We start from the raw sequence: 22,788 nt of genomic DNA on the forward strand, positions 1-22,788 counted from the left end.
TCCTTGGTTAATTTATTTCTAAATATTTTATTCTTTTAGATGCTATTGTAAATAAAATTGCTTTCTTAATTTCATTTTCAAATTGTCATTACTAGTGTACAGAAATACAACTGATTATTGTGCATTGATCCTTTATCCTGCAACTTTGCTAAATTCTTTGCTTATGAGATATGAAAGTTTCTTTTTATGTGTATTCTTTGGTATTTTCTACATATAAGATTGTAGCTTTAGTAAATAGAGATAGTTTTACTTCTTTTTGTCCAACCTGGATGCCTTTTATTTCTTTTCATTGCTAATTGCCATGACTTGAATTTCCAGTACTATGTCGAAGAGAAGTGGCAAGTGTGGACATCTATGTCTTGTTTCTGATCTTACGGGGGAAACTTTCAGTCTTACCATAAAGTATAATGTTATCTGTGGGTTTTTCATAGATACCCTTTATCAGGTTGAGGAAATACTCTTCCATTCCTAGCTTATTGACTGTTTTCATTACGAAAGGGTGTTGGACGTTGTTAAATGGTTTTTAATCAACCGAGTTGATCCTGTGTAGTTGTTTTCCTTCATTCTACTAATATGGTGTATTTTAGTGATTGACTGTCCTATGTTGAACCACTCCTGAGATAAGTCCCTACCTTGTCATAGTGTATAATGTTTAGTATGCTGCTGGGATTCAGTTTGCTAGAATTTTGTTGAGTATTTTTGCATCTCTCTCTCTCTAGTAACTTCCCTGCTTTTGTTGCTGATTTTCATAATTTGAGTGCTCTTTTTTTTTCTGTCTAGCTGAAGGTTTGCAAATTTTGTTTTGTGGTCTTTTCAGAGTACCAACTTTTGGGTTCATTATTTTCCATTTTTATATTCTCTTTTATTTCTCTCTGCTGTAATCATTATTTTTCTTTTCTGCTTTATTTTTTTTTCTTTTTCTAGCTCTTTAACATGGAAAGTTAGGCTACTAATTTGAAATCTTTCGGCCAGGTGCAGTGGCTCACGCCTTTAATCTCAGCACTTTGGGAGGCCGAGGTGAGAGAATCACGAGGTCAGGAGTTCAAGACCTCCCTGGCCAACATGGTGAAACCCCATGTCTACTAAAAATACAAAAAATTAGCTGGGCGTAGTGGCAAGTGCCTGTAATCCCAGCTACTTGGGAGGCTGAGGCAGGAGAATTGCTTGAACCCAGGAGGCAGAGGTTGCAATGAGCTGAGATCACACCACTATACTCCAACCTGAGCAACATTGTGAGACTCTGTCTCAAAAAAAAAAAAAAAGAAATCTTTCCTCTTTTCAAGTGTAGGCATTTATAGCTATAAATATCTTTCTGTGCATTGTTTTCACTGCATCCCATAATATTTGAAGTGTTTTGTTTTCATTTTTATTATTCTTAAAGGAGTTCCTATTTTCCTTTGTGATTTACTTTTGGTCCGTTGGTTGTATAACAGTGTGTTGTTTAATTTCTACATATTTGTGAATTTACCATACAGATTTATTTCTGTTATTTATTTCTAATCTCATTTCATAGTGATCAGATAATATACTTCATATGACTGCAAAATTTTAAATTTATTGAGACTTCTTTTGTGGCCTAAAGTAATTTATTCTGAAGAATATTCCCTGTGTATTTTAGAAGAATGTCTACTTAGCAGTTGTTGGAGGAAGTATTTATATATGTCTGTGAGGTCTAGTTGGTTTACAGTGTTTTTCAAGTCTTTTATTTCCTTGTTTATTTTTTCTGTTGTTCCATTCATTATTAGAAGTGGGGGTGTTGAAGTGTCCAACTATTATTGTTGAACTGTCTATTTCTCCCATTCAATTCTGTCGTGTTTACTGGATATATTTTGGAGATTCTGTTTTTAAGTGTGTATATGTTTATAATTTTTATATATACTTGACAGATTGGCCTTTTTATTATTGTAATGTCCTTTTTGTCTCATAACGATTTTTGTCTCTGTCTGATACTAATATAGCCATTCTAGGTCTCTTTTACTTGTTTTCATAGAATACATTTTTCTGTCCTTTCACTTTAAACCTATTAGTGTCATTGGTATTAGAGTGTTTTATAGGAAGCAAATGTTGGATCATATTTTTTAAAAAGTCAATTCTTGCTAAGCTATGCAATCTATGCAGTCTCTAAGCTTGATTGGAAAATTTAATCCATTTACATTTAGAATAATTACTGATAGGAAGGTAGTTATTTTTTGCACTTTGCTATTTGCTTTCTACATGTCATATACTTTTTGTTTCTCAGTTACTCCACTGCTACCTTCATTTGTGTTAGATGGATATTTTCTAGTTTGTGATTTTGATTTCCTTCTTGTTTACTTCATGATGTATACTTTTAGTTATTATCTTAGTGGTTACCTTGGAAATTACAGTTAACATCTTAATTTACTACAATATAGTTTGAATTAATACCAAATTATTTTCAGTAATATGCAAAACTTTGATTCTATATAGCTCTGACCCCTCCACCTTATGTTTGTTATTGTCACAAATTGCATGTATGTACATTATGGTCCCATCAATATAGATTTATAATGAGTGTTTTATGAAGTTTTCTTCTAAATCTTATAGAAAAATGAGTTACAAATACAAATACATTAATATTAAATTTTATATTTATCTCCATAGTTACTTCTACCAACTTTATTTGTGTGTTTATGCCCTTTCATATCAACATGAAGGACTCTTTTTATCATTACTAGTAGAGCAGTTCTACTAGTGACAATCAGTTTTTGTTTATATGGGTTTATATGGAATTATCTTCACTTCTTTATTTTGATTTTTTTCTTTTACTTTCCTTTTTTTTTTTTTTTTTGAGACAGAATCTCACTCTGTCACCCAGCTGGAGTGCAGTGGTGTGATCTTGGCTCACTGCAACCTCTGCTTTTTGGGTTCAAGCAATTTTTATGCCTCAGCCTCCCAAGTAGCTGGGATTACAGGCATGCACCACCACACCCAGCTAATTTTGTTATATTTTTGGTAGAGACAGGGTTTCATCATATTGGCCAGGCTGATCTTGAACTCCTGACCTCATTTGATCCTTCTGTCTGGGCCTCTCAAAATGCTGGGATTACAGGCATGAACCTCCACAAATGCTGGTATTACAGGCGTGAGCCACCACGCTTGGCCTGCTTTCATTTTTAAAGAATAATTTTGCCAGTTATAAAATTTTTGTTTGACAAGACTTCTTTTGGGAGGGAGTTTGTTTGTTTGATTTTTCTTGAAACACTTTAAATATGTCATCCACTGTCTTCTGACTTCCACGGTTTCTGGTTAAAAACAAATCAGCTGCTAATCTTATCGAGGTTCCCTGTACATTATGATGAACCACTTCTCTTTTGCTGCATTCAGAATTTTCTGTTTGTTTTTGGCTTCAATAGTTTGGTTAGAATGTGTCTCAGTGATATCTTTGAGTTTATACTTCTTGGGAAGCTTCGAGCTTCCTGGATGTGTAGATTCATGTCTTTCATAAATTTTGGTGAAGTTTTGGCCATTATTTCTTTAACTGTTCTTTCTTTCCCTTTATCTTTCTTCTTTTGTTCTGGGATTCCTGTTGTACATACATTGCTATGCTTGTTCCACAGGCTTCCAAAACACTGTTCATTTTTCTTTTTTACTTTTTTCTCTTTGCTCCTCCAACTGGATAATCTCAATTAACCTATCTTAGGGTTTGCTGATTCTTTCTTCTGACTACTCAAATCTGCTATTGAATTCTTCAAAGTGAATTTATCATTTGAGTAAGTGTCCTTTTCAACTCAAGAATTTCTATTTGGTTCCTTTTATAATTTGTATATCATTATTAATATGATCTGTCTGATGAGACATCATTATCATGGTTTCCTGCAGTTCTTTGTACTTAATTTGAGCATATTTAAAAGAATTAACTTAAAGTCCTTGTCTAGGTAGCTCCACTATCTCTACTTCCACCAGGCAGTTTCTATTAATTTCCTTTTTTTTTCCTTTGCCTGGGCCATACTTTCTTGTTTCTTTGCATCTTTTATAACTTTTTGTTGAACACTTGACATTTTGAATACTTTAATATGGCAACTCTGGAAATCAGAGTATCCATTTTCCTGAGGGCTTCTTGTTTCTGCTTGTTGTTGCTGTCTGTTTGTTTAGCAAATTTTCTGATTTAATTTTGTAAAGTCTTTTTTGTGTGTGGCCACTGAAGTCTCTGTTCCATTAACTTAGTGGTCAGCTAATGATTCAACAGAGATTTCTTTAAATGTCCAGAACAAAAAATCCAGAATTCTCAGTATTCACTGATAGGGTGTGTGTGTGTGTGTGTGTTTTGGTGCATGCTTTTTTTAACACTTAGCAAGGCAGTTTGCAACTCTACCTTAGCTTTCATTTCTTGTTTGTGAAGAGTCTGAAAGCCAGTCAATGGTGAGAGCTCAGAGCCTTCTCTGGTCTTTTCTATGCATCCAGCTCTGGGCATACATATGACTGGGAAAAGAAGTTATCTGAGGAATAAGGACTTTGAAACACTCCTACGTATTGCTTGTAGGTCCCAACCAGGATATTGACATCAATTCAGTCAAGATATAGATCAGTTCCATCATTACAAGGATCCCTTGTGTTGCCCTTTTATAGCCATGCCTGTCTCCTCCAAAATCCTTCAGCCCAACCCTAGGTAACCACCAATCTGTTCTCTATGTCTGCAATTTTGTCATTCCAAGAGTGTTATAAAAATGGAATCATGTGGTGTGTGGCCACTTGGGATTGGCTGGCTTCACTTAGCATGATTTCCTGGAGATTCATCTAAGTTGTGTGTATCAACAATTTGTTCCTTTTTATTGATAAGGAGAATTTCAGCATATATAACTTTCATAGTTAAAACATGCAGGAAAACTTTATTTTCTTAAAACCACCTAAGTTCACCTTTATAATGTTTTAGAAGCTTGACCACTAGCTAAGGGTTATGGTAACACACAGTTAAGGGATAATGCCTGTCCTTAGGTTGCTTATGGACTAGAGGTAGAGACAGACACATGAAAAAATAGCTACAAGGCTACAAGGTGATAAGTCCCTTAGTTCTTAGATAAACAATGTTCTTTGGAGACCCAGAGGAAGAAGACATAGTTTACTGGGGTGAGGGAGGTAGACAAAGACCAAGGAATAGTAGTATTTTCCAAGTGGACAGTGATTTCCAAAATAAAAAAGACCATGTTTGCCAAGGCAGTTTGAAGTGATGACTGAAGGGCCAGTGCTGGGGTACCCTTAGGACATTTAAAAACCTTTGTTCCACTTTATATTATATTAATGTGTAATCTTGGGCAACTTACTAAACAATGTTAAGCCTCAATTCCTTCTGCATGTATAAAATGAGGATGATGGTTTTACATGCATCCCAGGATTAAACAAGATGGGAGGATTACATATATATGAGAGGCCTAGCACATAGTATGCACTTCATAAAAGTGATCTGCAATTATTATCATTATTACTTTTAGTTTATCATTGCCCCACCATCTACTATTCTGGCCTCTTGACTTCTTTCTTAGTTATTTTGGGCTGCTATAACAAAATACCGTAGACTGGGTGGCTTAAACAACGTAAACTTATTTCTCACAGTCTTACAGACTAGAAGTCCAAGATTTAAGGCACCAGCAGATCTGGTGTCTCATGACAGCCTTCTTCCTGGTTTGCAGATGGTCAACTTCTCTTTGTATTCTCACTTGGTGGAGAGCAGAGAAGGAGAGCAAGTTCTCACATCTCTCTCTTTTTTTTTGAGATGGAGTTTTGCTCTTGTTGCCCAGGCTGGAGTGCAATGGGGCGATCTCGGCTCACTGCAACCTCTGCCTCCTGGGTTCAAGTGTTTCTCTTGTCTCAGCCTCCTAAGCAGCTGGGATTACAGGCGTGTACCACCACACTTGGCTAATTTTTGTATTTTTTTGTAGAGATGGGGTTTCACCATGTTGGCCAGGCTGATCTTGAACTCCTGACCTCAGGTGATCTGCCCACCTCGGCCTCCCAAAGTGCTGAGATTACAGGCGTGAGCTACTGCACCTGGCCCCTCACATCTCTTCTTATAAGAGCACTGTCTTAGTTCATTTTGTCCTGCTATGGCAGATACCAGAGACTGGGTAATTTATAAGGAACTGAGATTTATTTCTAACAGTTCTGGAGGCTGGAAAGTCCAAGAGTAAGGGGCTGCCTCTGGTGGGTGATTTCTTGCGGTGTCATCCCATGACAGAAAGCAGAAGGGCCAGAGAGTACTCACACGTGAGAGAGCAGAAGGGGTCACATTCATCCTTTCTTTAGGAACTCACTCCTGAGATAACAGCATTAATACATTTATGAGGACAGAGCCCTCCTGATCTAATCACCTCTAAAAGGTTCCACCTCTTAAAGTTTCCAACACATAAACTTTGGGGGAAGTTTTAAACCATAGCAGGCGTGAATCCCATTTATGAGGATTTCGCCCTTATTAGGGTCCCCTTTCCTAATACTATCACATTGGGGGCTGGGATTTCAACATGTGAATTTGCAGGAAGGATGCAAACATGCAGTCCAAAACAACTTCCTTGTATCAGGAATCTTGAAGAGTTATCAAGACTTCTTGCCTGAAATTTCTCCAAGGTTCAATGTTTAAGGTCACATTTTTCTGCCATAACCATCCCACAGTGGAGTTTTGCTTGGTCTTACAATTCTTGTTTCTCTTGGTGAGTTGCACAAGTGGATTCAGGCATCAGAGGATGACCCTGAAGAAATAAATGCCTGTGATGGAGTGGCTCCTAATAAGGGATGCCATCTGTGGTTGACATGAGAGGGCTTGTCTCACAGCTTTGTGTTGTGTGTTGTCAGGAAGCCTGTCCAGCATCTACACACACTGGGTGTTTACCGGACCTCTCTGGATCTGCGCTACCTAACTGCTACACAACTACATTCATAACTCCCCATGACCTGTAATCATGGCTGCCCTCAAAAAAGGTCAAGGGTGGCCGGGCTCGGTGGCTCACGCCTGTGATCCTAGCACTTCGGGAGGCTGAGGCGGGTGGATTGCCTGAGCTCAGGAATTCGAGACCAGCCTGGGAAACACGGTGAAACCCCATCTCTACTAAAATACAAAAAATTAGCCGGGCATGGTGGCATGTGCCTGTAGTCCCAGCTCCTCGGGAGGCTGAGGCAGGAGAATTGCTAGAACCCAGGAGGCAGAGGCTGCAGTGAGCTGAGATTGCGCCACTGCACTCCAGCCTGGGTGACAGAGTGAGACTGTCTCACCCAAAAAAAAAAAGAAGTCAAGGGCAAAGCCAAGGCCACACCAACTGTCTGGTGCCGTGAAAACAGGAACCCGGATTTCTAGTGTCCACGGTCTTCCTGGCTCACAGTCATTTCTGTCTGAGCGCATTGGCTAAGAACAGGGCTGGGGAAACTACTGTCGTGGGGCTCACTGGACCTACCACCAGCTTTTGTATGGTCCGTAAAAGCCAAGAACGGGGTTTACATTTTTAAACTGTTGGAAAAAAAATCAAAACAAGAATAATTTTTCCTAATACCAAAAATTGATATGAAATTGTAATTTTAGTTTCCATATAAAGTTTTACTGCTGGGCTCACTCGTTTTCACAATACTGACAGCCACTTTTGTGCTATGACAGCAGAGACAGAGACTGGCATGCAAAGCCTAAAATATTTACTACTGGGCTCTTTGCAGAAAAAGTTTGTTAAGCTCTGGTTTACAGCATGGGCCCTGGAGCCAGACTGACCTAGGTTTGAGTGCTGTCTAGCTACACCTTGGGCGAGTGACTTACCTCACTGAGCCTCACCATCCTTGTGTGTATAGGAGGAATGAGAATGGCATGAGTCTCCTAGGGCTGTCGTGAGGATTAAGGAAGATAGTACAGTGCTGGAACCTAATCAGGACCTGGTAAGTTGTCATTACTAGTGTAATGACAATGACTTTTTTTTTTTTTTTTTTTGAGACAGAGTTTCGCTGTGTCGCCCAGGTTGGAATGCAGTGGTGCAATCTCAGCTCATTGCAACCTCCACCCCCGCCCCCCCGGTTCAAGCGATTCTCCTGCCTCAGCCTCCCGAGCAGCTGGGACTACAGGCACATGCCACCATGCCTGGCCAATTTTTATATTTTTAGTAGAGACGGGGTTTCACTATATTTGCCAGGCTGGTCTCAAACTCCTGACCTTATGGTCTGCCCACCTCAGCCTCCCAAAGTGCTGGGATTACAGGCATGAGCCACTGCGTCCAACTGACAATTATCATTGTTAACTGTGTGATAGGTACCACGGACACACACAAGAATGAAACGCCATCTGTACCCTTGAGTTGCCCACAGTCTTGGGAAGGAGGCAACAAAAATGTAAGACAGTTATAACACAGTCTGTTAAATGTCAACAGAGGAGGAAACCTGGCCCGGCATGGTGGCTCATGCCTGTAATCCCAGCACTTTGGGAGGCCAAGGCAGGTGGATCACTTGAGGTCAGGAATTCGAGACCAGCCTGGCCAACATGGTGAAACCCCATCTCTACTAAAAATACAAAAATTAGCTGGGCGTGGTGGTAGGCGCCTGTAATCTCAGCTACTCAGGAGGCTGAGGCAGGAGAATCGCTTGAACCCTGGAGGCAGAGGTTGCAGTGAGCCAAGATCACGACATTGCACTGTAGCCTGGGCGACAACAGTGAGACACCATCTGAAAAAAAAAAAAAAAGAGAGAGAGAAGAAGAAACCTAACTGCAGGAAGAGATGGATGGATGCATTAAAGATGACAAAGGGGCAGGAGGGAAGCCTGGAGTGATGAGTTCGGGTAAATATTGAATATTCTTGAAGAACAATTTCTATATTCTAGGCACTGGCTAAATGCTTTCCATGAATCTTTCTTATAATTTAGTCCTTATAATAATCCATTGATTCTCAGCCGGGGGGAGAAGAAAGGAGGTTTGATCCCCAGGGAATATTTGGCAATGTCTGGAAACATTTTTGGTTGTCATGCTGGGAGTGGGGCTGCTGCTGGCATCCAGTGGGTGGAGCCCAGTGATGCTGCTAACACCCCGCAATGCACAGGACAGCCCCCACCACAAACAGCTGTCCTGTCCAAAATGTCAATAGTTCTGGGGTTGAGAAGCTTAGTAATAACCCTGAGGAACGCTTCCTGTCTACGGTTTACTGAGATTTAGAGTCTAACTTGCTTCCCCCTAGGCCCCAGAGCTTAGCAGCCATGCCACAGACACTATTCTCACAGCTTCCTTTGGCCAGCCACGGAGGAGCTCTGAATGGCTTCAGTGGGGAAGTAACAGGGACAGATTTCTGCTTTACAAAAGATTATTTTGGCATCTCAAGTGGAGGAAGTACTAGAGGCCTGAGCTGGAGGGTGGGACCTGGAAGCAGGTTAGAGAGTAAGATGGGGTGGGGTGGGCCCGGGGGCGGGGGTCTATTGCCAAAGGGCAGCGTCTATTGCCACCCTCAGATTGAGAAGAGCAGGGATGCTTGTTAAAGTAGACACCCCTCCTTCTCCAGCCCTACAGAATCAGCATTTCTCAGGATGAAACAGCACTTGTGTTTTAGTGAGTGACCCACATTGATTTTTTAAAAAACTTTTATTTAAGGTTCAGGGGCACGTGTGCAGGTTTGTTATATAGGTAAGTTGCATGTCATGAGGGTTTGATGTACAGATTATTTTGTCATGCAGGTAATTAGCATAGTACCCAATAGGTGCCATCAGTTAAAACTGGTAGATACTGTAGTATCTACTGGGTAGATTGAGAGAGATCTATACATTTTGTTCTTTTTTTTTTTTTTTGAGACAGAGTCTCGCTCTGTCGCTAGACTGGAGTGCAGTGGCATGATCTTTGCTCACTGTAATCTCCACCTTTCAGGTTCAAGCAAGTCCCCTGCCTTAGCCTCCCGAGTAGCTGGGACTACAGGCGCGCGTCACTACGCCTGGCTAATTTTTTGTATTTTAGTAGAGACAGGGTTTCACCATGTTGGCCAGGATGGTCTCAATCTCTTGACCTTGTGATCCACCTGCCTCGGCCTCCCAAAGTGCTGGGATTACAGGGGTGAGCCACCGTGCCTGGCTGAGACCTTTTTAAAAATTTTAAATTAAAAAATTTTTTAAATTTTACATTTTAAAAATTATTTATTTATTTATTTAATTTTTATTTTAAGTTCAGGGGTACATGTGCAGATTTGTTATATAGGTAAGCTTGTGTCATGGGGGTTTGTTGTATAGATTATTTAGTCACGAGGTGTTAAGCCTAGTACCCATCAGTTGTTTTTCTTGATCCCCTCCCCACTCCTACCCTCCACACTCTGATAGGCCCCAGTGTCTGTTGGTCCCCTGCATGTGTCCATGTGTTCTCATCATTTAGCTCCTACTTATAAGTGAGAACATGTGGCATTTGGTTTTCTGTTCCTGCCTTAGTTTGCTAAGGATAATGACCTCCAGCTTCATACATGTTCCTGCAAAGGACATGATTTTGTTCTTTTTTTATGGCTGCATAGTATTCCATGATGTATATATACCACCTTTTCTTTATCCAGTCTACCATTGATAGGGATTTAGACTGGTTCCATATCTTTGCTCTTGTGATTAGTGCTGCAATGAACATACACATGTGTGTGTCTTGATAACAGAATAATTTATATTCCTTTAGATATATACCCAGTAATGGGATTCCTGGGTCGAGTGGTATTTCTGTTTTTAGGTCTTTGAGGAATTGCCACACTGTCTTCCACAATGGCTGAACTAATTTACACTCCCACCAACAGTGTATAAGTGTTCCTTTTTCTCCACAACCTCACCAGCAGAGAGATCTTAAGCTGAGCTCAGAGGGCTGAGACTGAGAGCAATTTACAGAGTTTTTCCAGGAGCTGGAGACATAGACACGAAATAACAGACAAGAACTAAGTAAAACATATAGTGTGTTAGGCAATGACAGATGCCTTGGAGAAAAATAAAGCAAGGAGGATGGATAGAAGTGACGGGGTTTTCATTTTAAATAGGGAGGTAGAAAAGGTCTGTGATATATTCATGTTCAGAAAAAGAGCATCTTCACGAGAGCTGCTTTAGAGCTGCATTAGAACGCTGCTCCATAGTCAAGGAGAAACTCTTTATGAACTATCAGCCATTCAGCTGACGAACCCTTTAAGGGACTGGCCATTCTGTGAACGGGCTTGCAGTGGAGAGTAAGGGAGGAGAAGCAGGTGAACACCAGAGAGAGGTTAGTTCAGCCTTGCACCTGCTGACTGGGTGGCGTCCCCAGAAGTGGGATGAGACCAGGGGAGCTTTCCCAGGTGTCTTTGCTGGGTGAAGGGAGATAGAAGCTCATGCCCGTTGTTCTGACCCAGTTATCCAAGGGTCCCTGTCTCACTCTCGAGTGTCTGAGTTGGGATGTCAGATTGGTGGTCACTCTCGAGATGCCACCTGGAGCATTAGGGCCTGTGAGCAGGGGCTTAGAAAGGGGAAATAACTCTCTGGAAGGAAATGGACAGGCCTGCAGAACAAACTCTTTTCCAAATGAAGACCAGCCCTTGGCGACTGGCCCGGTACCCAGGGACAGCAAAGGAAGACAGCCTGTGAACAGCCCAGTGTCTGGCCTGGAAAACACGTATTTCCACGCCATTTTAAACGGGCAGTTGCTGAATTCATCACTCTGTGTTTCAACAATAGGGACTTAGTTAATGAAGCGGTTATGGGCAATCCCTGATGGAATCATATTTGTCTTTGCAATGCAGGAAACATGCGATAATGTGTTGAAGTGGGGCGGCGGCTCCTCCTCGCAGAAACCCTCCGCAGTCCCCTACCCCAGAAAGGTTTCCCTTCCCTCCCCTTCCCGCAGGCCCGGGGCTGGTTTGGGGCTCCAGTCTGAGCGCCTCCTCCGCGACGCGCCACATGGCTGGCACCGGCGCGCCCCCGCGCGGCCGCCTGCGAGAAGCTCACTCTCCGCGGAGGCGAAATCTGGTTTTGATTCAATTAGATTAAGTTCAGGGGCAGGGAGGGAGGCTTAGTCCCGGGCCCTGCAGGGACTATAAAAGAGAAGTTTGAGGCTCGTGGGGTGGGGGACGGGGGCACGTGGAGGCAGATAAATACAAACATGGGGTTAAGAGTTAACGATTGGAGCCAGACTGTCTAAGTTACTCCCGTGGCCACTGCTAGGGACTTGGATGACTTTGGGCAAGTCATTAAACTGAACAACGGTAGTGTGGACCTCCCCGGGATGCTGACAGCCTCAGAGAGATAGTATTCAAAGTTGTCCCAACACAGGTTTGGGAGCATAGAACATGCTCAGAAAGTGTTCCTTATTAATTTTTATTATTATTACAATCACCAGTGGTCTTTGTATGACATTTAAAAGATTCCAGAACGCACTCTCCCTTCTGTTACTCCATCCCTAACTACTAATGTTAAACTTAATGTCTTTGTAAAAGTAGGAGGGAGAGAAGAAAAAGCATATTAACACATATGTCTGCAAATAAATTATCTTCAGCTGCTACCGCACTTGTTTCCCCTTTTACCTAACCCAGACCCAGGAGGAATTGAGGGCACATTATGCCATGTAATTCACATTTAAGTTCATCATATATAAAACAAATCAATATTAACTACGCTAATTTCCCTCTGTATTTTCCCGGTGGTGTGGATCGTAAAATAGGCTGGCTTCACGTCCATACCAGCGACTTCATTAAAGCATCTGGGGAAAATACAACTTGTTATTATAAAGCGGGGCACGGAAGTGTAAATAAGTAAACGGTAATTTGATTTGAGCATAAAGCTCATCCATATAGAGCAGGGTTTCTCCACCTTGGCATTATCGACATTTTGGACTAGATATTTCTCTGCTGTGGTGGGGGTTGTTCTGCTGGCCTCTACCCACCTGATACCAGTAGCGATGCCGCCCCCACCTCTCCCCCACACCCCACCCCCCCCCGTCCCCCCTGCCCCCCGCTGACCCCGCAGTTGTGATCATCCAAAATGTCTCCAGACATCGACAAATATCTCCTGGGGGGCAGCATTGCCCCGAGGGAGAACCTCTAATATAACGTGTGGTTTTTTGTGTGAGGCCATCTAGTTACAGCCAACAAAACGAAGCGTCCAGCTTGCATAATTCTAAGACAGCCGTTCTGGAATGGTATGTAGGCCCTTCCTGCCACAAAAACAGGCCCGGCTATGATGCGGGAAAGGTCCCTAGGACCCCTACTGAGTTGGAATTTGAAGCAAAGGAAGTGGGAATTGAAAACTGTTCCCCGGGACCCACAGTTCTGCTGCCTGTAGAAATCCCCTGACAGTCCTTGGAATCTTATTAGAACATGGTTAGTTTAGTAAAAGATGCCTATGTTATTCACTGTAAAGGGGTCATTATAATATTAAATGAAAATTTTGTTTAAGTACCACAAAATCTCATCATCCTTGCAAACAGTAGCTTTCATTTTAGGCAGATTTCTTGTGGGTCTTATATATCAGGGGTTGGCAAACTACAGCTCATGGCCGCCTGTCTTTATAAATAAAGCTTTATTGGCACACAACCACATCCACTCATTTACATTATCACTGTGGCTGCTTTCACTCCGCTGTTGCAGATTTGTGACAGAGACTAGAATATTTACTGTCTAGCCCTTTACTGAAAAAGTTTGCCCACTGCTATTATATACAAACATTGTCCACAAAACTTCAATTGTCTTATGCTCTTTTGATATGGCACACAATTAATTTTATATCATTTGGGCAATAGTTTACAGGCTTTCCTGATGACAAAATCCCTTCACAGCCATACCCTCACCTGATTATAGAAATGGCTGCAGAAGGGAAGTAGTAGTATTTTTCTCAAGGATCAGAAGAGATCACTAAGGCAAAGAAGGGTGGCATGACTGGCCCAAAGTCACGATCAGTAAAAATCAGAGCTGAGACTCATGATCTTATCCCTTGTTCCATCATCACACTTCATGGATTTCTACCTGTCCTGAGCTGTGAGTTTGTCATATGTATGCTGTGATATGCAGATTCTCTTACAGCTGTTTTTTGGTTCTAAACATTCAGCAACTTAGTAACCAGTGCAGATAAAAAACACACTTTTGGTTTGATTGTTTCTTTGTATTCCTAGGATGGTGGCCTCATTTAGAAATTTCCCCAAACCAAGGTGACAGCTTATTCTCTCCTAGTAAATCAAGACAGATATATAATTTGCCCATTGTTTCGTAAATATGAACACCAAGTAAGTCATGCCAACCCAGAAGGAATAAACCACACTAACAGCATCTGAAGGTTAGATGGGATATATAGGACTTCCACAGCAGATTTATTGGTGAAGTTATTTGGTTTTGCCCTGGGGCAAAATTAACTCAAGATGGGATATTAGATATTTAGGCCGGCATTAAAGTGTTGTATGGGGAAAAAAGAAAAAAAACTTGATTCTGTGGTTAAATGTGGGAAACACTGTTTTAATAAAAAATAAAAAGGTTTCAGCTGCAGAACTTTTCAGAGCCTTTAATACATTAATATGCTTGTAACTTTCCAAGGGGGCCAAGGTGTGCAGCACTTTGCAACTTCTCTTGATGGTGGGCCCCCTTCTTTCCAGAAATATCCATTAGGGTCATTCCATGGATATGTTTTAGGGTCCGCGCAATGCTCCCCGCACACTGCAGCCCTATCTACACGGGGCATCCCATGTACCCCTTATGGTAACTGTAAAGAAGGGGTCCTTATTATCCCCACTTCATAGATGGAGAGTCAGGCTCAGACTCCCCAGCAACCTGGGGTGGTTGCAGGATTCAGCTGCAGGGCATCTGCCCCAAGCCTGCATTCCCAGCTACTGTGTCACCCCATTGCTTGGGTATATCTCCCTTGTTAATCAAATTAATTAGCCCATTCGGCTTCATAAAGGAATCTGGAGGTAAAATGGTTTAATTTTCTCATTGAATTTCTCAGCATCTTGACGAAGAGACTGACCTCCTCTGTGGGCTTTGGTGTTCTAACACAGCTTGAATTGACTAGCATATAGCAGTTGTCTTTCTGGCCACGGCAATGCTCGATAATGACGTCAGCTCAGGCTGGTGGCCCTGGCTCTTAGTTCTAAACCTTGAGTTGACCCTGCATGGACTGTCAGGAACGGAGGTGCCACTGAAGCCTCTCTTATCCTATGCCACACCCAATCTTTCAGTGGACTGGATCTGGCCCCCAGGGGAACGCCTCATATATTTATTAATTAGGACTCTTGGTTGCAAGTGTTAGAAACTCAACTCAAACTCGGATGAAGCTGGAAATCATCATTCTCAGCAAACTAACAAAGGAACAGAAAACCAAACACCACATGCTCTCACTCATAAGTGGGAGTTGAACAATGAGAACACGTGAACACAGGGAGGGGGACATCACACACCCGGGACTGTCGGGGGGCAAGGGGAGGGAGAGCATTAGGACAAATACCTAATGCACACGGGGCTTAAAACCTAGATGACAGGTTGAAAGGTGCAGCAAACCATCATGGCACATGTATACCTATGTAAGAAACCTGCACATTCTGCACATGTATCCCAGAACTTAAAACGAAAGGAAAAAAAAAAAAAAGGAAAAAAAAGAAACTCACTCAAACTCTTAAGTAAAAAGAGAACTTTACTGGTACATAAATCCAAGGAAGGGGGTGAAGAACTGGGCCTCAGGAAGGATAGCCGCTCAGCTGGGCTCAAGAACAACCAGAACCAGGACACGGCATGTTCTGAAACACTGTTTCTTGGCTTTTCTCTATAAGCAATTTTATATTCTCTTACTGTAGGCTGCCTCTTCTGAGGTAGGAAACATGGTGACATGGTCTGAGATTTGTAATGCCACCTTTTCAGCCACCAGAGAGTAACTGACTTGCGTGTTGTTTGATCCCAAGACCAAGCCTCAGGGAAGGGACCCATTGGCACAGCTGGGTCGGGTGACCAACATGGGATCCACCAGCTATGACCAGAGTGGGGGAAAGTAGCCATGGGAGAAAGGAAGTTTCTAGAACGGCAGACAGTCCCACCTATTCATGGAAGCAAATGACAGCCAGGTGGGTCAGTCAATTAAATTCTAACCCTGGTGTTTACTTTACCTATGAAAGTTCACCATTTAGGTTAAAAAATTCCTGTTTTGCTGAAGTTAAAAGTTGCCTTTCTCATTAAATGGAACAGTAAAGGGAAGTGGTTAAGTGGGGTGTTTAAGTGTATAATAGTATCACCTCCGAGAACTCTTGTGAGGATTAAATGCCATAATACAGGAAAAGTGCCCAGGACACAGTAAGCACTCAATCCATGCTAACTGTTGTTATTATAAACAAAGAGAATCCTTCAGAAGGCATTCATGACAAGCCTTTCACATGTGTATCCTTTCTCCTTAGTTTCCTGGGGGTGGAAGTCTGCAGCGTGGCCAGCCTCAGTGATAGCTGGCAAGAGTTGGGTGTCTGGTCGGGGTACAGTCTTGTTACTGCGTGTGCTTCTCTGGGGAACGGACAACAAAAGTGAAGCCTCAGCGGTGTTCACGGCAGGATCGGATTCTCTGCCCATCCTCTAAAACCTCCACCCCATGCTGACATTAAAGTGAATTTGTTTCCTGAGACAACCTAATTTCCTCTGAAAAGATCTAATCTTCCAGGAAGTGGTTCATTTCATCCAAACCCAAAATGATTTCAGCTGTCTGACGGAATAGGTGTTCCTTGTTCTTCGCCCCGACGTCTACATCTCTGTCACTTCCTGGAAATGCAGACAGACAACTGCACAGAGCATTGCGATCCTGTCCCAGGATTTTCCAGACCATAAAGGAAATGTGGATATTAGACCGGCTGTGCCCTTGAGCAACACCCAGTACCTAAAATCATTGGGTTTCCAAGAGGGACTATGTTGAGGAGGCATATGGTTTTTATAACTGACAAGACATTCTGATTCATTAGAACCACTGAAATTGTGTGCGAGGGAAAGCTACACAAAAGAAGACCCCTTAGCTTATAGCTGTGACCAGGCTAGTGGGCTGGGGGCCTTCAATCACCTCACCTCTCGGGCTAGTTCTCTCATCTCTAAAATGGAGATGAAATGGGTTTTGAGGTGTAAATGAGACAAAGACTGGGAAATGGCACCCATCGCACATTGCCTGACACACAGGGAACACTCCCCCTCCTCTGGGAGCACAGGAGAAGCAGAGAGGGGATCACCCACCCTCTGCCAACGGATATCAGTCGGCAGTCAAATTGTTCTTTAAGCACCACTTTCCTTTAATCAGGCTATTCTTCACCGGGGCTGTTTTAATTAAGGATCTGCTGTCAACACAAAACATATGTTCTGAAGTCTTGCTTTGGTTACTAATGATGCCCGGGATGATTAAGTCTGGAAGGAATTTCCAGCTCCGGCTTGCTTGGCCTCTTCTCCCTCCCCCCAGTCCCTCAAGCCCCCATTTCGTTCACATCTCAGCTTTCACCCACTTACACTCAGTCCTTGGCACTGTTACCCTTTTGGAAACTGACCTAGAAAAGCAATCTGTTCCAATCGATGTGCATGGTGTAATATCCCAAAACACGCTTCTGACCATCTTTTATTCCTGCTGATAATCATTCCATTGAGATCCAGGCTAATAATTTGTTATTTTTTCAAACTACATTATTCAAAAAAAGTTACATACACACACACACCACATATACCATATATGTGTATATACACAAACACTGACATATACTCATATGTGTATACACACACCACATATACTTTATGTATGTATACACACACACTACATATACTATAAACGTTACACACACTACCCACACTGTATATGTATACACATACCACATATGCTATATGTGTAGATATACACACACCACATATACTATGTATACACACATGCCACATATACTATATATGCATACATGCACACCACATATACTATCTGTGTATACACACATCATATATACTCTGTATGTATACACACATATACATGTATACACACACCACATATGTAAGTATACATGCACACCACATGTACTATATATGTATACACATACTATATATGCACACATGCATACCACATATACTATATATGTGTATACACACATCATATATACTATATACGTATACATACACCACATATATACATGTATACACACAACATATGTATGTATACACACCCACCACATATGTATGTATACACACACACCACATATACTATATATGTATACACATACTATATATGCATACATGCACACCACAAATATTATGTATGCATATACACATACCACATATATATATGCATACACATACTATATATGCATACATGCACACCACATATACTACATATGTGTATACACACACACCACATATACTATATATGTATACACACACACCACATAAACTATATATGTATACATACACCACACATACTATACATGTCTGTACACACACATCACATATATATTTGTATACACACACACTACATATGCTATATATATGTATACACATGGTGAACTGGAGAAGGGGCAGAGTGGTTGCCTATTGGCTGAGCTCAGGTGCTTCTCAATTGTCCTGGGTTTGGCAGGCAGCCTCCTACACTGGTCCCCACCTATGGGTATTTATACTCTGTGATCCCCTTCCCTTGAGCATGGGCAGGACCCAGTGACTTGTTTCCAACCAATAGAATGCAGCAAAAATGGTGATGTCATTTCCAAGATTAGGTTATAAAAGACCCTGCCTTCTGTCTCACTAGGACTGTCTCCTGGCCTCTTGATTGTGTGCTCTGATAAAGCCAGGTGCCTTGTGGAGGGGCCTGCCTGGCCAAGCACTAAGAGGGGCTGCAGCCTAATAGCCACTTAAAAGCCTGAAAATAAGTCCACCCCAGTTAAGCCTTGAGACAACCCCAGCCCTAACTGACACCTTGATTGCAGCTAAGTAAGACACCCTGAGTTGGCAGACTGAGGAGCTGTGCCCAGATTCCTGATCCACAGAAACTGGGAGACAGTAAATGTGTGCTATGTTAGGCTGCTAAGTCTGAGGTCATTTGCTGTGCAGCAACACATAACCCTAAGCAATTCAGTCCGGTCCCAAATTTACAAACTCCTGAGATTATGTGCCTGGTAAAGTGGAATAAGTCAGACTCTTGTGAAGAGGAAGATAGTGCCTAGCTCAGAGCGCTGGTGTATGAGATGAAATAGCATTTGCCCAGTGACAGCCCAGGCTTGGCTTATAGCAGGTTTCACATAAGCATTAGCTATTATCACTGATTCCTCAAGGCCTCTTTGTCTATTTCCCTCTCTGGAGACCTTTCTCAGTCCCTTTGCCTCTCTCACTAGGGAGCGCTCATCACTCACTGTACCAGGAACTCACACTAACCTATTGGAACCTTGCCACTCTATGCTATAGTCTTCTTATTTTATGTGAACCCCCTTCTCTCCACTATACTGTGAAATTCATCATTGTGTCTATAGCACCTATAGACCTATAGTTAAATAGGTCTATAGCAGCTATAGCACCTATAGTCAAATTTTAAAAATCACCTTTTCTACCTTTCTATTCTAGGCAAATATGGTACCATGTTGAGACGCCTGGGGGTGCAAATGAAAGAGCTTTTCTGAAGACTTTGTTGCCTTCAAAGGCAGGGAGAACCATCTCAACCATCACGGATGATTTAAGCGCAAATAAAACTCACTATTGAGGGAAATAGCAGGAGTTCAGAAAAGTCATGTAGAAGAAATGGGGCTTTGATTGTGAAATTCTTTGGTCCTCAAAGGCCAAGAACATTAAATTTCCTCTTCATTTTGCTCACGAAGAGATGGGAGTAAGAGTCAGGAGCTCTTGGAGATAGTCTAGTGCTGGTAGGTAACCGTATGTCCATTTCACAGATGAGGAAATGGAGGCAATTAAAGAAAAAAACAGGTCAGCCACATAGCTAAGTATAGGTCCAAAAGTGACTTTATTTTAAATGCTCATTTGCCTGACTAACCCTGAGTCTGGGAATGCCTCCAAAATGTCTAGTTGATGTATTATTTTTTATGTGGGACACCTATTCATTGTAGGTTTCCTCCAAAACAACCCTTGGTGCTGCTGCAGAACTCATAGGCTGTGATGCCTGCAGCATTCTCTCAGCCACCTACACATTCCTTCCAGAGCACGTATACTTTTGCCCCAAGATATAAGCCTTGGGTGGGGGGGTGGCGGTGCAGAGAGCTACCTGTCCTTCAGCTGCCCAAGACCATACTTCTGCTTGTAAGTTTCCCTTACTAAATCACCCCAGGCCAACAAACTGGATTTGTCCACCTCATTCTTTGGTTTCTCGGCACCTTTGGAATTTGGGGGTCATTTTGGATACAAGGCGCTTTTACGGAAAGGCCAGTTAGTATGGGAAAGAGAGGGTAGATCTGGGACTCAACCTTAAGCCTGCTTGTTGCAGGAGGTCACGCTCCTAGAGTCACCATATCCTTAAAGGTACCCTGCAGTTCTGGGTGGATAAATCTGCAAACTAGAGGGCCACTTATTTAAGATAAATACCAGGTTTCCCTTCTCCTCCCCTGGGCCAAGGAGGAGGAAGAGCAGCATGTATGTCTCCTTAAGGCTTCTTCCTTGTTCCTCCCATCTAAAATTTTATTTGTTTATTTTATGGCTTTTTTTTAAATTGTAAAAGTCATGAATGCTCACAGAAACAACCCAGGCATGTTTTAAATTTTTATTTTATTTATTTTTTTAATGAAGCAGGGTCTCACTCTGTCACCCAGGCAGGAGTGCAGTGGTGCAAACACAGCATATTGTAGCTTCGATCTCCAAGGCTTAAGGGATCCTCCTACCTCATTTTTAATTTTTTTTTTTTGTAGAGACAAGGTCTTGCTATGTTGTCCAGGCTTGTCTCAAACTCTTGGGCTCAAGCAATCTTCCCACCTTGGCCTCCCAAAGTGCTGAGTTTACAGGCATGAGCCACCACATCCAGCCAACACATGCATTTTTTAGAAAACAAAACCACAAGAGTTTTACGTGTGCACAGAAAAAAAAGTCTGTTTTGTTGACCGATGTGTCCACAATGCTTAGTTTGGAAGGAATTAGGTAATTAATAAATATTTATTTAAGACACAAACAAGTTATTGCCAAGGGGCTAGATTATGGGAGGCATTAATTTTTATTTTATACACTTCCGTGTTGTGATTGGTAATTTTATGTGTCAATTTGAGTGGGCTAAGGATGTCCATCCAGCTGGTAAAACATTACTCTTGGGTGTGTCTGTGAAGGTGTTTCTGGAAGAAATTAGCACCTGAATCAGTAGACCAAGTAAAGAAGATCTGCCCTCACCAGTGTGGGGGGGCATTGCCCATTTCACTGAGGGCCCAAATAGAACAAAAAGGCAGAGGCAGGGCAAATTCAGTCTCTCTCCTTGAGCTGGGACATCCATCTTCTTCTGCCCTTGGACACTGGAGATGCTGGTTCTCAAGGCTTTGGACTCCAGGACTTACACCAGCCCTCCTACTCCCTTTCTGTGTTCTCAGGCTTTTGGCATTGGACTGGGAGTTACACCATTGGGTTTTCTGGTGCCCAGGACTTCGGAAATAGACTAAATTAACCACAAGTTTTCATGGTTCTCCAGCTTACAAATGGCATTTTGTGGGATGATATGGTTTGGCTCTATGTCCCCACCCAAATCTCACCTTGAATTGTAGTTCCCATAATCCCTGCATATCATGGGAGTGTCCTGGTAGGAGATAATTTAATCATGGGAGTGGTTCCCTCATGCCGTTCTTGTAATAGTGAGTGAGTTCTCATGAAATCTGATTTTTCTTTTTTTTTTTTTTTTGAGAAAACAGTCTCGCTCTGTCACCAGGCTGGAGTGCAGTGGCGCAATCTTGGCTCACTGCAACCTCTGCCTCCTGGTTCAAGCGATTTTTCTGCCTCAGCCTCCCAAGTAGCTGAGACTACAGGCATGTGCCAGCATGCCCCGCTAATTTTTGTATTTTTAGTAGAGACAGGGTTTCACCGTGTTGGCCAGGATGGTCTCCATCTCTTGACCTCATGATCTGCCTGCTTTGGCCTCCCAAAGTGCTGGGATTACAGGCATGAGCCACTGTGCCTGGCCGATCTGATGGTTTTATAAGGGGCTTTTCCCCCTTTGGCTCAGCACTTCTGTCTCCCGCAGTCATGAGAAGGACATGTTTGCTTCCCCTTCCACCATGACTGTAAGTTTCCTGAGGCCATCCAGCCATATGGCACTGTAAGTCAATTAAACCTCTTTCCTTTATAAATTACCCAGTCTTGGGCAGTTTTTTATAGCAGCGTGAGAACGGACTAATATATGGGACTTCTTGGCCTCTGTAATCACGAGCTAATTCCCATAATAAATCACCTAATATCTATCATCTATTTGTCGATCCATCCATCCTATTGATTTTGCTACTCTAGAAAGCCTTGGTTAAAATATGTACTATTCGAATTTTTAAATAATCATCTGTGTGTGTGTGTGTGTGTGTGTGTATATATATATATATATATTTGAGACGGAGTTTTGCTCTTGTTACCCAGACTGGAGTGCAATGGCATGATCTTGGCCCTCACCACAGCCTCTGCCTCCCGGGTTCAAGTGATTCTCCTGCTTCAGCCTCCCGAGTAGCTGGGATTACAGTCACCTGCCACCACACCTGGCTAATTTTTGTATTGGTAGTAGAGACAGGGTTTCTTCATGTTGGTCAAGCTGGTCTTGAACTCCCGACCTCAGGTGATATGCCTGCCTCGACCTCCCAAAGTGCTGGGATTACAGGCATGAGCCACTGTGCCCGGTCCCCTGTGTATATATTTTTAAACACAAATAACTCATTGTTATACTTTAGCTGTAAAAATGCAGAAGGTATGGAGTAAATAATTATTTAAAAAA

Source organism: Homo sapiens, chromosome 5, assembly GCF_000001405.40.
Source record: "Homo sapiens chromosome 5, GRCh38.p14 Primary Assembly".
Lineage (NCBI taxonomy): Eukaryota > Metazoa > Chordata > Mammalia > Primates > Hominidae > Homo > Homo sapiens.